A 16,613-nucleotide genomic window follows, 5' to 3' on the forward strand; every position below is an offset into this window, starting at 1 on the left:
GGCATACACGTTTGTGAGTGACCCCATGGGGTAGTTCCCTGAGCCAGAAAAGACAGAGACTTATGAAGCCCTGCATAGGTGACACCCGAAATCTGCCTGGCTTTGCGGATCCTGGCCTTTCTTCTAAGTGCTTGGAAGACCTTGGCAGATTCAGCCAGCGTTTTGATCACTGCCAGAGCCTGCAGCTTTGTTGCTAATTGTTTGCTGAATGAATTGAGCAAAAGCACAACTGGTCCCAAGGCAGGAGTGAGGAGGTGAGGGAAAGACAGAAAAACAAACCAGAAGAGAGGACTGGGTGACTGCCTTGGAAAATCTTATTATTACTAGTACATTTTTTTGTCTTTTAATCACAAAGGCTGTCTCTGCACTAGGACTAAAGAACCAGAACTGTTCAGAAAGAGAGAAGAGCCCAGCACCTTATACTCAGGAGATACTGAAAAACATCATATAAGGTGTTTACTGTTGAGAGAAAAGTACACATCAGAGGATGCCCATTATTGATATAGAGCCTTCTCTGTATCTGGATGAACGTGACCAGGAAGCCACCCTCAGCCTGCTGCAGCTGTTTTCAGAATCTGTGGGATCACACCCCAGAGGCAGTTGGGTCAGCCGCAGGCATCAGGTGAGGAGGAGGAAGAGTGAGACAGCTATTACAGGCTGCCGGACCAGGTGGCTGTGAAGAGGTGTGGGGACACCAAGGCTTATATAAGGAGGATGGAGAACACAGGCCAAAGGGGAGGCTGTAATGCTGACTTCGATTGGCTAACTTAATATAAGGCAGACTGAGGGAGGAGGAGGAGGGCAGGAGAGAACACGCTTTAGAAAGCATGACGGTGTCTCATTCTGTTTGCAAGTGAGCACGTAGGTGCCTTCCAAATATGATCCTGAAGAAGGTGCAGATAAATGAAAAATTGGATATACAATAAACCACATACCTCTTTATGTTTATATATGAACATATTAAAGAAGGTTGGCTTTAGTAGAGTATGATGCATATTCTAATTATATCAATATTGGATGCATTGTTAGTACCATTTCTCAACTTCATTTAAAAATCACTTTCAGAAAATACAAAAAATAATTCTGAAGATTTTAACCTTAGGTGCCCGTAGATCATTTTCTTAGGAAACTGCAGCTTTTAGAAATGCTGGACATACTTTATCCAAAGCGTTATAACTGGTCTTCCACAAGCCTAGGATAAAGTTTTCCACAGAAACACTACTACAGAAAAATGCCACATGCCATGGATTAAACACTGAAACCAGCTAATCACAACACATGAGAGCAAATGTAGCATGTTCAGAGAAGTACAAATATGTTGAAACATGTCTGTCATGAAATCTGATCTTAACAATCCTCTGAAGACTAGCCTTTTTGCAAAGAGAACTTATGACTAATATACCTCACGGAGGGGGTCTCAGTTTCTAATAGAGTTAATTTTATCTGCTTTGATGATGGAAACGAAAGACACCCTGGAAACATCCTCTTAATTCTAAGCACCATCCACTCTTTTTGAGGGGGGAGAGGGAAGCTTTCAGTAATTCCCAGTGTGTCTTATACTGAATATATAGAAGATGGTAAAGCAGGGCCAGGTAATTCCAACACTTAAACTGCTACTTAACCATCCACATATTAAAGGAGTTTACATGGATTGTCAGCTATGAAAGAGGTTTCTCAATCTATATCCCACTCCACAGTCAACTCTCCTCACAGGTGCTCTTGGCTGTGGGGCACTCATAATCTCAGAAGCCGATAAGGCTGCCAAGTTCAAGTTGCCGTGACTCTGAACACAGTATAATATTCCCATTCCAAGCCATAGCCCGTCACTTTTGTGGCTGTTCAGATGAGGGCCCTTCTTGGTACCACTCTGACTCACATACACTGGCTGAAGTCATGTAGCAGGTGAAGGACTTAAGTGTCACTAAGTTGGTTTCCAGTTGCTTCCAGGAAAAAAAAAAAAAATCCCCGGCATATAAGATTCTTGCTCCTGACACCTGGCACTTTCTCCTTGTGTTCATGGCTGCAGACAGAAGATCTGGCCATTACTGTTTTGGCTTCAAGTGCTGCCTCCCACACACATATTGAGGGGCTCTGCAACAAACAGAAACCTAGGGACACTGACATTTTGGAGGCAGGGTGTAGAAAAAAACACTGTATGTGTATCTGAAAACTCTGCCATGCATGTCAGCCCTGACACGCCACTTCCTAGCTCTTCTAACGTCAGAACATTCTGTGTTAGGAGTTGCTAATCAGTCCAATATCATATGTAGTTTAACGGTGTTGAAACACATTTGCCAGAAAGGAGGCCAAAAGGAAGGGCCCCTCTACTGCTATCTTCTGCAAAAGATCTGATCACTTGTGACTGCAGCCCCTCACTTTGCCCCCAGGTGTTTTCTCCCTGTGTTGTTCTTGGGCGTGTTTAATTTGGATTGAGCATCCATGGAGCTGTGTAAACATTGAGGTCCCATGAATATTGCAATATTAAACAGCAGTGGTAATTACCAATAGACCCCTCAAAAAGCAATCGAATAGCAAACTCACCTTAACTTGGCCTTTGTATCTCTGGCAACGGAAAGCTCAAAATGCAGTTCTGTCATTTTTGCACAGTCATTTACCTTGACACCCTCCCTCTGCCGTGGAATCAAATCTCCATGTATAAAAATAAACCTAGAAACTTTCTGTTCACACGTTTTGAGGTATGTGCACCAAATGACACACTTTGGGAGGTAAGCACGAGTCATGGTAACTGACCACATCCTTTATCTTTTCATCCTAAGACTTAGCAGAACTTTATCTTTACAATAAAATGGCCTTTAGAAGTGGGTATCACCAACTTCAGAATGTGAACATCGTTACTGAGAAAAAGCATTTTCCTTTTAAACAGAAACCAACAGCCATGCATTAAAAGGCCTGAGGAAAAAAAAAAAAGTGGAGCTACCACAAAACAAACAAATATTCAGCTTGGTTTCAGGAAGCTTAGAGAGGATCAAACAAGGCTTTCTCTATTGAAGTTGTTCGAGAACATTTATGGTTATTTCAGCTTCAGTTTCTATTTACGCTGCTGGCTTTTATGCCTCGACCTCAGGAGGGCATTCCAACTTCAGGTTAACTCACAAGTAGCTTCAGAAAAGTTGGCCTGAAAATCCCACCCCCAGAGTGGGGGAGGGGAAAGCACGATGGTTCACATTGGTTTCCAAACACCTTTCAAACCACTGCTTTGGCCTTGAGTCGAGGATATCTCAAAAATTGGGGAGAGAAATTCCACGGAGAGAGGGTGAGAAAGGTTTCTCATGGTGTGAACATTCATATAGGGAGACTGTCTCTTCCTGCGGGATGAAACCAGGAGAAGAGAGCACCAATTTGCGGAGCCCTCGTGAAGGTTTCCACTCAGGAGTTTGCAATTTTCTGTTGGTCCCTAGGGAGGAAGATTTAGTACATGGTTGAATTTCCAAGCAAATTAACTTCCAGAATAAAGGAGGAACTATGCCAACCCTTTGCAAACAATATTTTTGTTTTATAAATCTATTTAGTTTTCAATTCTTCGTGCCATTTATCCTCATAACCATGTTTTGGTTGGTATTTTTAATCCCCTTTTGATGGATTAGGAAATTGAGGTTTAGAGATTAAGAAACAAGCCCAAAGTTATACAATAAATACATAGAAAAGCTAAGATTCAAACCCGGGTCCTTTTGCCTCTAATGTCCGAGTCCCTTCCAATACGCCACACAGCCCCTGACCACTCCCTTCCGTTAACAATGCATATTGTCAGCGGTGGAAAGAGGAAGAAACTTTTGGAGTAGAATACTGAACAGTTTTGATTAGGGAGCGGATGTGAGGCAGAGGAAATATTATCACTTTGGTGGTTGTTACTATGTCCCCATCCTTTCATGGAAACATATGGAAGTTTTCTCTTAAACGTACATGTCAGAACTTGCCGGTGAAATTTAAGTGACACCCTGCATATGGTGCAAGTTCATCTCCGAGAAGCAAGAGATGAAAAAGCCGCTGTTTCCAGATGTATCAAATCTCATATAAATACCACACGTTGCTTGCCTCTGGAGAAGGTCTCAGTAAGGTTTGTCCAGATTTCAACATAGAGTATTCCTATTTACATATGTCCCGCTGCATACATACTTAGCTATGTCAATATCCACTTGGCATACTCTGGAGCTTAGAAAAAGTTTCCTGCCGAAGCTGAACAGCTTCCCTTGATTGCTCCTTTGCAAACCTTCATGGTTTTTTCATTGTAACAGATTTTTGATTACACAAAACATGCCACTATTCTATGGAACAAAATCAAGCTACATCCCTTTACCCAACCGCCCTTCCCCCATAACATCAATACCAAAAAGGCTTCCACTCCAGGGGGCTTCTGGGAGCATTCCCACAAACCACACAGCTTTCTGCACCCTCCTTCAGCCCCAGTCTTTTTAAAAGTTAGTACAACATGTCCATAAAGGCCACTCTCCCTTGCAGAGTTTTGAACAGCCACTTTAGCCACCTAAATCTGAGAGAGATAAATTTACAATCCACTTTAGGTTTATGTGGGGAACCATAAATATCAGGCTTGAGCCCTGAGGGCTAGAATTTCATGGGCCGTTAAGCATGTCACCAGGTGGAAAGCTGTCAATAGCTGGATGTGAGCTACACTGAGATAACCACAGGGGCCTGGCTTAAGAAAGTGTAGCCCTGATCAAAGAGGGGTGTCCTTTTACCTTGTTCCATCACTCCACTCACCAATTCTCCCTTCCCGCCTCTGATCTCAACCTCTCCTTCACTTCCTGTTAGGTGTCCTCTGTGCTAGGTAGCAGACTGCCTTTTTTTTTTTTTCCTCTAGAGTGAAAGGTTGGGTGACATATGGAAAGAACAAGAGACGTGCAGTTCTGGCAGACCTTGATTTAAATCCTCGCCCTGCTATTTAGTAGCTATGTAATAATGCACAAGTTACTTAACCCAACTTAGCTCATTTTTCCAACTGTGAAATTATTAAAGATAATTAAAAGCATAAGAAAGGCATAAGTAGGGCCAATGGGTAGAGACTGTAAAAAAACAGATTGCCTACTTAGTAGACAGAAGAACTTTCTAAAAGCCAGATTGGCTCGAAAATAGAATGGGCTGCCTTGAAAAGAAATGAAGAAGTGAATATTCTCTGTGACAGGTTTTGCGCATAAGCCGGATGCAGGGTGGTAGATCCCGAGAATAGACAGGAGTTTAGACTGGCCACTGCAAAGGATTTCTAATCTTGAAATTCCATGGTTCTATGATTTGCATATGTGTCCTTCCAGAAAAGCTAAGATAAATCTTCTCAAATCCCCTATGCGGAAGAAAAGTAAATTGGCATCATATTTTTTCATTTTCATTTTCCTTCTAGAAAACTAATCCCTTCCATGTTTTCCCCCTTCCCTCAATTAGTTGGTAGAGAATCCCATTTCCATCAAGTGCACAGAACACATTTAACCATTTTGAAACACTTAACATTTAACACAAACCACATGGCCGTAAGTTTTAATTAGTTCCCGCTATACAAATAGGTCCATTTTTAGAAAAATCAAAATGCTCAATGCTGGTGCTTGCTCTCTTCCTCTCCATTGTTTCTCTGTTTGACTAGCTCAGTGGCACTTTCCCATCCTGCCCTCTTGCTGTCTGAGCCCATGGCACCTGCCAATAAAAGTGATGACAGGCTTTGATGCTCACACAGGTTTGCAACAACAGAGTTCACTTCATAATCACCAGACTTCAGCCCGTAAGCGTGATCTGAGTGACACTGGATTTTTTACCTGAGATGTTACGCTGTGGGCTTTCGTTTCTACAGGTTATGAACCACTTTGAAAGTGATTTTTTTAGCTTGCTAGGGGGAATGACCTATGAGCCTGCAGACAAATCTCAACTGATTGGGCAAAGCCCAAACCCTTATTAGAGTGCTTGAGTTTGCTGGGAAAACTGGCTGCCACATATGAGCCACAGATACAAGGTCGTCCTTTGGCATAATGTGTACAGGTGCATGCGTGTGTGTGTGTGTGTGTGTGTGTGTGTGTGCGTATTTGAACATGTTCAGGTCATGAAGCAAATCAGAAGTACAAACCAGTGTCTTCTGTTTGGCCAAAGTGAATATCAAGGGAAACCACAGAAGACAAAGTGCACTCGTACAACAAGGAGTGATGGGAGGGCTAAGCCTAGGGCTCCCGTCCTCACCCTCATCACAAAGTGACTGCTATGAATGACTGCATGTTGATTGGCCAGGCATGGAGGAAGCACATACTTATACCAACATGTTATTTATTCGGCCAGATATTATTATCTTACTTTTACGGATAAGACTCAAAAAGATTAAATAACCTGCCCACAGCCACATTACTTGTAGGTGGTTGTGATGGAAGTTGAGCCCATGGTAATGGACTTTTCATGGCACTGTCTACTTTCAGAGGCTTTCTCAGCTCAGAGTCCGACTGTGTCTGCCTCTCAAGCCCTGTTTCAGCCACCTTGTCTCATTTTTTTTTTACTCTGATATCATATTTCCTACAAATAGTGGCCAAATTCTTCCTTCTCCATGTTGGCTGTCTTATTTGCCTAATGTTATGATTTGTGTTTCAGATACCCTAGGGTATCATGTTTTTCATCTTTTGAGTGTCCAAAACTACAAACAGCTTTAGGGTCAATTAAAATCTCAACAGGAGCAAGGATTCTATCAGGAGACCCTGACCTTTGCAGCCAACACTTTACATGAAGAAGCAGCTTCTCTTCTTCTCCCGTGAAGGCCGCCTCTTTAGATAGCTGGGATTTAGCATGCCTGTCATTTTAGTCAAAGGAGCTGCTGAATAAAGACTTGTTGACCAAAGCTTCTCACCGGCTAAGGACAGAGAAGTCTTATTTCTTCTCTTTGCAAATGAAGATTCCAATCTTCTCATCCTGAGACAGGGGTAATGCAACTGTTTTGATTTGTACCCTAAAATGTTCCATGGTACACTGAACTGTTTTCAAGGTAGAGTTTTAGAAGAGGCCGATTTATTTTTGACCTTGACACAATTTGAATTTAACAAACATTTTTCCCATATTTCACTTTACACATTTGTTTGCACTGAAACTGCATGACTAGAATAAAGCATTCAAAACAAAGCAGGCAAGCAAGCAAGCAAACAGAAACCCATCCCACTTCTCCCTTGCTATGCAACTAGGCAAGTAGACCCGAGGCTCTCTGAGATTTGAAATGCTGTGTTCCTTAACGCAGTAAACTGAGTAATGTGTCCCCACCCCCACTCCCCAATGTCCACATCTTAATTCCCGGAACCTACAAATATGTTATTTTAGGCAAAAGGGACTTTGCAGCTGTGATTAAATTAAGGATCTGGAGATGGGGAGATTATTCTGGATTATCTGGGTGGGCTCAATGTAATCACAGGGTCCTTATAAGAAGTAGACAAGAGGGTGAAACACAGAAGGTGATGTGACCATGGAAGCAGAGGGACAGAAGTAGACTGGACGATGCTACGTCGCTGACTTTGGAGACAGAGGAAGGAGCCATGAGACAAGGAATCCAGGTAGCCTCTAAAACTGGAAGTCGGGAAGCAGATATTCCCCTAGAGCCTCCTGAAGGAACTGGCTGAGTGTTAGCTCAATAAAACTGGGTTTGTACTTCTGATCTCTGGAACTTTAAGAGAATAGTTTTGCATTGTTTTAAGTCCCGAGTTTGTGGTATTTTGTTATAAAAGCCATAGGAAACGAATACACTTGTTTACCACTTACTGCATCTCTTATGTCTAGTATTGGGCTTGGTATATGAGATGGACTCGTAAAGTAATATTTGTTGGATGCACTGAAAATATAAGGGAAAGATGTCATGAGAATGGAATGTACCAAATTCATGGCAACTTTTTAAATTTTTATTTATTTATTTATTTATTTTTGAGACAGAGTCTCACTCTGTCGCCCTCATGGAAACTTTTCTGATTTAAAAAATTCTCTCTTTCTTAGGATGAAAGAAACATTCCTTTAAGGCTCAGAAGGGTGTACAGTTACCCAGATATCCATGGCAAGGCCCCAGCGGTTACAGAGTTGTGTTTGAGCCCTTCAGGCCTAGCAAGCTCTTTCCTGGGAGCAAGTAAAGGAGACATAGGCCATGATAAACAGCACTTAGCGGCCAATTGCTTTAAGAATACCTGTTTAGTGTTTCCAGGGACTCAAAGCTCCAGGGGGACAAGCAGGAAGGAGAGGCAGTGTCAATTACTGTACAATACAATTAGCAAATACCAGCACCTTGAGGAATGTTTGGTATACAGTAGGCAGTCAGGAAGCAAATGCTAGAATGAATGTCATTCAGAGCGTGTGACCCCTTTCTCCTAAAGCTTCCTACAGTAGAAGTCAGTCTCCTACTACTTCTACCTTCTCTGTCTCTTTGGATGTTCATTTTCGTCGGATTTTACTCATACCTGCTGAAGAAGGGCAAAGGGGAGTACCTTTCAACCTCAGACACAGACACATGTATTTGTCAACAGGCCACACATATTCTGGGCACAGGGACTGCAGACCATAGCAACGTACCTCACCTTTTCTGAGACCCTCATCCTTGTTCAGTATTTGTAAGCCTTTTAATTTAAAGAAAAATAAATTAAGCCATGCTAGCTGATTAAAGAATAATTTCAAGGAATTTAACACTTAGTGATTATATTAGCGATGTACAATAACTTCTCACTTTGGATTCTTTTTGATGTATTATGGAGGTAAAAATCAATATTTTCTACCAAACTGGAGAAATTTAGATGATCTATTTTTGAGATATAGGTTCAGAGAAAAATTGATGATAAAGACTGGAATAACTCTAGTTCCCCCAAGTCAACATCTGATTGGCCCTTAGAATCAGAATTTAGGAAGAGAGAGGTTTGGGAGACCACGCAGTCCTGCTTCCTCACTTCGCAGATACGGAAACCAGGCCTAGCTGGAATTTCCCCAGATCACACAGCCAGGAAACAGCAGGCTCAAAACTAGGGCCTTCTGAGTCCCCAGTGCAGCATGCATATGTGTCTGCCTTGTTTCATTATGTAATGGTACAGCGAGTTTGGAGGCATACAAAAACAGACAGACACCAATCTTGCCTTCAAGGCGTTTACAATTTAGCAGGGGAGATAACACATGTATATAAAAAACTTACTAGACAAAGTAAACAGCAGTATGCTCTATAAGACAGGTATGGATTAAAAAGGAATCTTTAAGTCATTGAACCCTGAGATTCTTTTTTTTTCATTTTTTAAAACAATAGTAATCAAACTTGTGAAATAGTGAACTTCCTCCATTTTGCAAGATTCCTCGAAACCAAGTACTTGGAATATAACTTAGTTAAGGATTGCACAACACACACCATTTGAGTATCTGATTTGGAAAACTAAGCCACAGAGCCAGACCACACAATGCACACTGGTTGGAATCTGCTGGGCAGGTATCTCCCCGTCTGTCCAGGCAAGCCAAATCAAATAAGGCCCTGAGTTAAAAAGGAAGGAAAAGTAACAGATAAATCTGTTGACCACCACTCTAGGAGGCCAAGGCCTCTTTCCTCCCCATTAGTGGTGGCTTGCTCTAAGATAAAAATACCACACTTAAGCTGTGATAGAGGAAAGCCCGTGGTTTGGGACCCAACTACAAAGTAACAGCAAAAGAGAGATTATTACTCCCTAGTGACTCTCTTTTTGGTATAATTAGAAGAATAGAAAGACCACTGAAGAGTGGGATTTGTGAGAAATATGGGTCATGTGTCTGCAGCACTAGTTGCTTGCAGAATTGGCTATGTGGGTTGGCACACAGCACCGTGAATATTAGAAACCACAAATCTCCAGGGTTTCTTGAACAAAGTAAAAGGCCTTGTCTTCAGATTGCCAGGTTGGAGGCTGGCTTGTGGAAGAAGCCCCTGGGTGAGCTCCAAAGCTACCTACGCATTTCTGCCTTCTCCGTCTCTTTCTTCTCCTCCTCCTCTCCCTCTCCCCATCCCTCTCCTCTTATTTTGGATATTGCATCTTGGTGGGTCTAACTGTAGCTTTGCTTATGCCAATACCCCCCTGCCCCACCCCCTGGGGAAGCAGGCCCTCTCCATGACAACTGCCGACGCAGAATCCACAGAGCTCTGGACAATGGGACAAACCATATTTCTATGAACAAAGCCAAGGTAAGTGGATTCCTTTGCCCCTGGAGGACTAAAGGAGTTACTCCCCAGTCAGATTATGCTGTAATTGAGGGTCCAGAAAAGGAATGAACTTCCCTGTGTAGACAACAGAGCCAGTTCTTAAAAAGCTATGCCAGCGTGCAGACCCTTTAGAATCTCCTCCTTGGGAGCCTGAAATGGAAACAAAGTACTTCCCTGTGTTCACCTGTCCAATCGTTGACTCCTCTGCAGAATTATTCTCTTGGGTTGTAAGTAAGCTAAGTCTTCTATAAGGCATACTTCAAGAAAAAAAGGAAAACATAAAATGAGTTTATAAAATCCTAAGGATTAACTATACCTTGGACACAGATAAATTGCCACGTTTATCACTGCACTTCCCTTTATCTCCTCCTGAGATGCTCTCTCGGTTCCTCCTTCACTGCTCTTCAGGTTCTGGAATATTTCTTAGCCAACACTTCATCCACGGTGACTTCCAGGACCCCCAGTGAGGGGTGGGGATTCCTATGTTGTCTCTTTTCTTGGCCTCTCCATCCAAAATATTTAGATGGTGCATTCGTGGCCTTTCTCTCTCTCTACCACTGCCTCCTCCAAAAAAAGGAAAAGCGGGGAGTGGCGGGTGGAAGGAGATTACATTTTTCTTTCTTTTTTTCTTTTTTTTTTGGAGATGGAGTCTTGCTCTGTTGTCCAGGCTGGAGTGCAGTGGCGTGATCTCGGATCACTGCAGCCTCTGCCTCCTGGGTTCCAGTGATTCTCCTGCCTCAGCCTCCTGAGTAGGTGGGATCACAGGTGTGCACCATCACGCCCAGCTAGTTTCATCATGTTGGCCAGGCTGGTCTCAAACTCCTGACCTCAAGTGATCCGCCCACCTCAGCCTCTGAAAGTGCTGGGATTACAGGCATGAGCCACTGTGCCTGGCCCATTTTCTTCTCTTATCCTTGGTGCTTTCCATATAGTAGGAGGTCAGGGAGATCAAGGGGATTCCTGGATGCATAAATAAAATCTGCATTTCTTAGGAATCTGATGGACAAGAGAATCCAGAATCTCTGCAATGGGCAGAAGAGAGGACCAGACTTCATGGTTGATCTCCCCACAGACCATACCAACAGGGCAAAGCCCTTCTGTATGTATTTCTGTTTTCACATGTATCTGCACAACCACGTGTTTAGAAATCAGAGGGTTGCTATTTGTAAAACTCTTGAAAACCTCTCTTTTAAATTGTAAAAATTATTTAATAAATGCCAACCCAATCTACTTTATCTCAGTGAGCTGCTATTAAGTGCAAAGAAGATAACATGTTACAGGTAAGTCTGTGCTTAAAGAGCTTTGGCCACAAAGACTAAACAGGGTCCGTTCTCCCATGTGAAGGAAAATGTTTCTATTTCAATTGTGATGTTTGGAATTTCACCTTAAAGTAGAAAAAAGGCACTGTTTCTGTAGTGCCTTTTGGAAAGGCACTGTAGAAGTGGCTGATGGTCCTTGTGGAATCAGCTGGCCAAGTGTTTCCTCCTTTCTACCTAGACTGTCATTGGAGTATATTGACCCATCCCTGACAGAAAGTCTGTGTAAGCCCGAGGAGGAGGAACATGCCGCAAACCTGCTGCAGAGCATTAACAAGAACAGAATTAAAAAGGATCACTTCTGGGACTCATCACACAACTTGGAAATCATGTTCAATAAAAGAAAAGATAATTTGGGGCCACACTACCTGAAATGAACATCTGACACTCAGTCACTGGTCTGGATTTAGAAAACTGCTTTGATCCCCGGAGGGAAGATTGTTAATGAGTATTTTAAAGGACAAGATTGGCGAAGCATGATAGAGTGGAAAAGGGTACTGATTTTGAAGGGTCCCAGTCTTGCTTCCACTTCTGTAAGCAAGTAGAACTGACTTTGAACAAGACACATTACACTGCCCTGAGAAAACGTCCTCATCTCTAACATGGGAGGTGAAGTTAACCCTCTAGTCCATCCAACAATCAAATCTAGGCCTTAATGACTATGAAAACATGGGAAAAAATTTAAAACAAGAGCAGGTAATGCTTGCACCTTTTCGCTACCTGAAAGGAAGGTCAGACAACCTTAGTATAAAAGGTAACTTTTCTTACTTGCATGCTAACAATCAATGCATAATTTACATAGCAATGCATACACTTTATATAGTTCAAGAGATCATCGTTGACTGCCTGAACTTGATATGCTTCATCCTTGTCATGTCCTCCTCACTAAATACTAACTACCCAAAGTGATCAAACCCCAAATGTAAAAATAATCATCTGATAAATCACAGACAACAAGGAGGTGAAAAAAAGAACTCAGTCAAACATTTTTGAGTTCATAAAAAAATTGAATAGCATAATCTACCACTATGTTCCCATCCCCCTGCTAAAACAATATTTTATCACTCTGGCTTTATTTATTCCCAGTCCTCCCCAACATACTTATTTTCTGGAGCATTTTAAAGTAAATCTTGGATATCTTGTCATTTCATCCACAACTACTTCAGTCTTCATCTCAACTAATAAGGATTTTTTAAAAACCACTACCACGACAGTATTATGCCTGACAATATTAAAAAATTATTTACTATCATCTAAAGAACCAATCAATATTCAAATTTCATCAATCATCTAAAAATTTTTTTTTCTTTCAGTTTTTGGCTTGAATTAGCATCTAAACAAGCTAAGAGGTGAAACTGATTTCACCCAATTCACAATCCTTTGTCTTTTAAATATTTCTTTTAGACGCTGACATTACTTAGACACAATGTATCTGGAACACAGATAATGTGAAGGTCAGCTTCATCGCAATATTATTTGAAATGTCTTATTCTATGAATCAGATATAAATGTAGTTAAAGGCTCAGAACTGGAAAAATCTCAAGTAATTCTCAGTTTTCCCAAATGCATAAATGATTTAGGCAACCTTAATGGAATGCTTTAAAGATATTTTGCTAAATCTTACACCATTCCTAGGAAGAATACCTCTGACAGACTTTAGCAGCTTTTATTTTGCCCATATAAAAGCTGGATTTCTTAGACCGTGGAGCAGCCTAACAGCACAGATAGTATTTTCAGTTGTAGTTTCACCTGCACCTTAAAAAGAAATCTACCTGCATATGCTGGCAACGAGGACATCTTTGAAAACAGAGCTAAGAGCCTCAAACTGTCAACTCCGACTTTTGGGAAGAAGGGAGGTGAACAGTTTCTCCATTCAGCTTCCATGAGGCCTCTCTGGTAACACACAGGCACTGCTGTGACTCATAACCAGAAATACTGTTTTATAACACCAGTCTGTGTTTTGTAACACACACTGAAAGAAAAAAAAAACTATTTAGAAACCAAAACCAAGCCCTACATCTGGGCATTGGTATCAAGATCTCAAGATGTCAGAGTGGCTATTTAATTCAGATAAAGTAGGCAAGTCCTTATCCCTTTCCTTGGCAAGAAAGTGGAGGCTTCCTGCCTGCTGCACATGCCCACAGGAGGAGCAACCATGAATTTAATTTTCTTAAAACAGAAGCATTTTCAGACTTGTGTTTTCCTGGACAGCTGCCTAGTGGCTGTAATCCATAATAAGGGCGTGTAATTGACAGTAATGTGAATCACTCACTGAAATTCTGGCAAAAAAAAAAAATAGAGGAGTTATTTTTTTTTTTTTTCAGGAAAAAATTAAAGAGCAGATTCATCCTGTCCATTGAAAATAGCAATTACTTTACATTTCAGCTCATTAGCTACCTTTATATAAAAAAATCACTGTAATTTGTACTAACTATCAGCAAGTGTTGTAAAGAAGTGGTGCAGTTGCACAAGGCATGCAATCGGATGTGCTGGGCCAGGCACAATCTGTAAAATGGCAAATGTAGATGAGTTACTTGATATAGCATACATGGGATTCCTGGCCCAAGAGTGAGTTACAGGACACTGTCCTAACAGTGATTTTGCCACTTAAAAAGCTGCTATCTGCCTGGGACCTTGTAATTATTATGGTAATACCCAGGGCAGACTGATCAAGCTGCCATTGATGTCTATGGGCAGTTTCAGAATTCCTTTCACTCAGACACAGGGATCTCCAAAAGAATGGTTGGGGATTTTCCCAGGTAGAAGCTGTTGGAACCATGGAAACTTTGAGACCAGGTAAAGGGTTTCTCCCATCTATTAATTCTCTTTGAATAAGGGGAAGAATAATCTCAATTAACTTCACTATCAACCTGAAAGGGCCCCCTCTTTTCCAAGGCAGAGGCACGGGAACTAAACACTGGAAAGCTACGGAAGATTTAATTCCATTTAGATAAACCCTGACTCCATCAGAACCCGAGAGGTTCAGATATTTTTCTGAAACTTCAGCACCTGTGAAACTAGCAGCCCTTGTCCAGAACTACCTGGTATCTCAAGCTTCTGGTCCCAGAGGGAACAGGGGTATTTTGACTTGTGAAAATCCCACGAATGCATGGAGAAAAACTTGGGACTTTAGAATGCTGAGGTCTGTGTTAGGAAGATGTATATTGAACCAAAGAGTGGAAACACTTAACCTCTTTTTCTCAGTCAACCACACTCTATGAAGAAGGCTTGGATTTATTTTCTCCTATTGGGATCTCCCATTCTTAGAAGAAAAATGGAAGTCAGATTTCATTAAAATAGAGGTAATGTTGGGATTTTGATGAATGAAACTAAAATTCATTTTGTGCTTTATCATTAATTATTTCTGAGAAGCTTTTTCTCATATGACAACAGTTGGGGGATGGTATTATTAGCTTATGATGGTTCCCATCTTTGATAGCCACCACTAATCTCCTACTTAATTCTGGCTTAATTTGCAAGTAGTTGCTAACAGGCAAAATGAGGGTGGAGTCTCATAAACCACTAAAAAGAGAGACTTGCTATGCATATAAATAGGCCCTGCAAAAATATTTCAGATACTGTATCTCAATTATTAGACAGTAGCAAACTGTCAAAATCTAAAAAGTAACATGGAATATGTATAACTAGTTCTTTGCAGGCATTCTTTTTGTTCCTATATGAATACATTTTATGTGAGCCCAAATGGTTGGAAATGTATTATTCATTTTTATAATTGAGAAAAATGTGTTAACGCTCTGGAATGTCCATGTGTGGAAAAATAAAACGTTATATGGAATTGCACACACATATGATTTATAATGCATGCTTCCAGGACCAGAAATCCTAACGAAGAACCTTATTCAACAGAAAAAAACATTTTTTTTTCTTCAGTATGTGCAATTCTGGTATACTGTAATGCTGAGGCCAAGCATATATTTTATTAGTTTAAATCCTAGCTAAGCAATAAAATATGTGTCATTTTAAATAAAAGAAAACATGTTTTTCACAAAAGCTAGATTTCTTGTCCATTTTTGTCCCCCTGTAGTGGATGCTGTGGTGTGCTGCATAGGTCCCTCCCTTTAGGATGGAGGCCCTCATTCCCCTGGGGCCCTGAGTGTTGACTGCCAGTGGCTCATAGCTGAATTGCTTCCTGAGATTTGTCCTTAGCTAAAGTGGAGCTGCCTTGCCCAAGGTTATGCCCTTAGGTGCAGCTGGCACCCAATGGCTGCCTGATGCAGAGTAAAAGATGCAGCCCCCTTGCTTCAATTTGGTACATCACTGAAGGGCCACCCCCACTCTGATCTCCCTGTGGCATCTGCTGAAGCCTATATTGCAACTGTTCAAGTTTTCCTTCTGCCCAGTCCAGCTTCCCTCACTCTCTATAGGCATTGTCCCTATAAGCACACTCCCATAAACTTTCTGTATGACAATTTCAGAATCTGAGCATCTATTCTCTGGGGAATTCAATCTAAGATACCTTCGTTTATTTAAGGATACTTTAGTGGAGTGATTAGCTGGGCGTAATGATGAATTTTAGATCAGAATATGGTAGAACTTCACTTTCTTCAATGTGAGATAGACCCAACTTAGCCTTTATGCCAAGAGGGTTAGTTCCAGAAGTTTTTAAAAAACTCTAGCATTGCAAGGTGAGCTAAATTAATGGTAATGGTACAAAATGAGACTTTTTTTGTTGTTGCTGTTACGGAGTTTCACTCTTGTTGCCCAGGCTGGAGTGCAATGACGCGATGTTGGCTCACTGCAACCTCTGCCTCCCAGGTTCGAGTGATTATCTTGCCTCAGCCCCCCAAGTAGTTGGGATCACAGGCATACGCCACCATACCCGGCTAATTTTGTGTTTTTAGTAGAGATGGGGTTTCACCATGTTGGTCAGGCTGATCTTGACCTCCTGACCTCAGGTGATTCACCCACCTCAGCCTCCCAAAGTGCTGGGATTACAGACATGAGCCACCACACCTGGCCACAATATGAGAAATTTTATAATGAGGCTTTGCTATTGAAAATAATAGAAGAATCATGTACGATATGTAGATGATTGGTCACACACAGAATGTGAGAAGTTGGCTCTTCTACATTTCAGTGGCATAATTAACCCAACTCTCCAGAATTCTTGT

General features: G+C 41.5%; 1 protein-coding gene and 1 long non-coding RNA gene across 4 annotated transcripts in view, besides 3 other annotated features; one reads left to right on the forward strand and one right to left on the reverse strand.

Moving 5' to 3' along the window:
- Positions 1-15,492, forward strand: part of LOC105370846 (uncharacterized) — a 30,635-nt gene extending 15,143 nt beyond the window's left edge. Inside the window, exon 5 of the long non-coding RNA XR_007064663.1 lies at positions 356-15,492. This is a non-coding gene — a long non-coding RNA (uncharacterized LOC105370846). The remainder of the gene's footprint in view (positions 1-355) is intronic.
- The window catches only part of RORA (RAR related orphan receptor A), a 741,019-nt gene that overhangs the window by 159,010 nt on the left and 565,396 nt on the right, over positions 1-16,613 (reverse strand). The window lies entirely within an intron of this gene.
- Positions 2,848-3,349: an enhancer, noted in NCBI's record as "NANOG hESC enhancer chr15:60942340-60942841 (GRCh37/hg19 assembly coordinates)". NCBI's record gives its function as "activates a minimal SCP1, AML or CMV promoter by ChIP-STARR-seq in primed H9 embryonic stem cells {active_cell/tissue: H9 hESC(primed)}" and the evidence as "EXISTENCE:reporter gene assay evidence [ECO:0000049][PMID:30033119]".
- Positions 4,654-4,743: a silencer, noted in NCBI's record as "silent region_6500". NCBI's record gives its function as "represses an Ori minimal core promoter by ATAC-STARR-seq in GM12878 lymphoblastoid cells {active_cell/tissue: GM12878}" and the evidence as "EXISTENCE:reporter gene assay evidence [ECO:0000049][PMID:35858748]".
- Positions 13,317-13,366: an enhancer, noted in NCBI's record as "active region_9512". NCBI's record gives its function as "activates an Ori minimal core promoter by ATAC-STARR-seq in GM12878 lymphoblastoid cells {active_cell/tissue: GM12878}" and the evidence as "EXISTENCE:reporter gene assay evidence [ECO:0000049][PMID:35858748]".

The sequence above is a fragment of the Homo sapiens genome, chromosome 15, assembly GCF_000001405.40.
Source record: "Homo sapiens chromosome 15, GRCh38.p14 Primary Assembly".
Taxonomy (NCBI): Eukaryota; Metazoa; Chordata; class Mammalia; order Primates; family Hominidae; genus Homo; species Homo sapiens.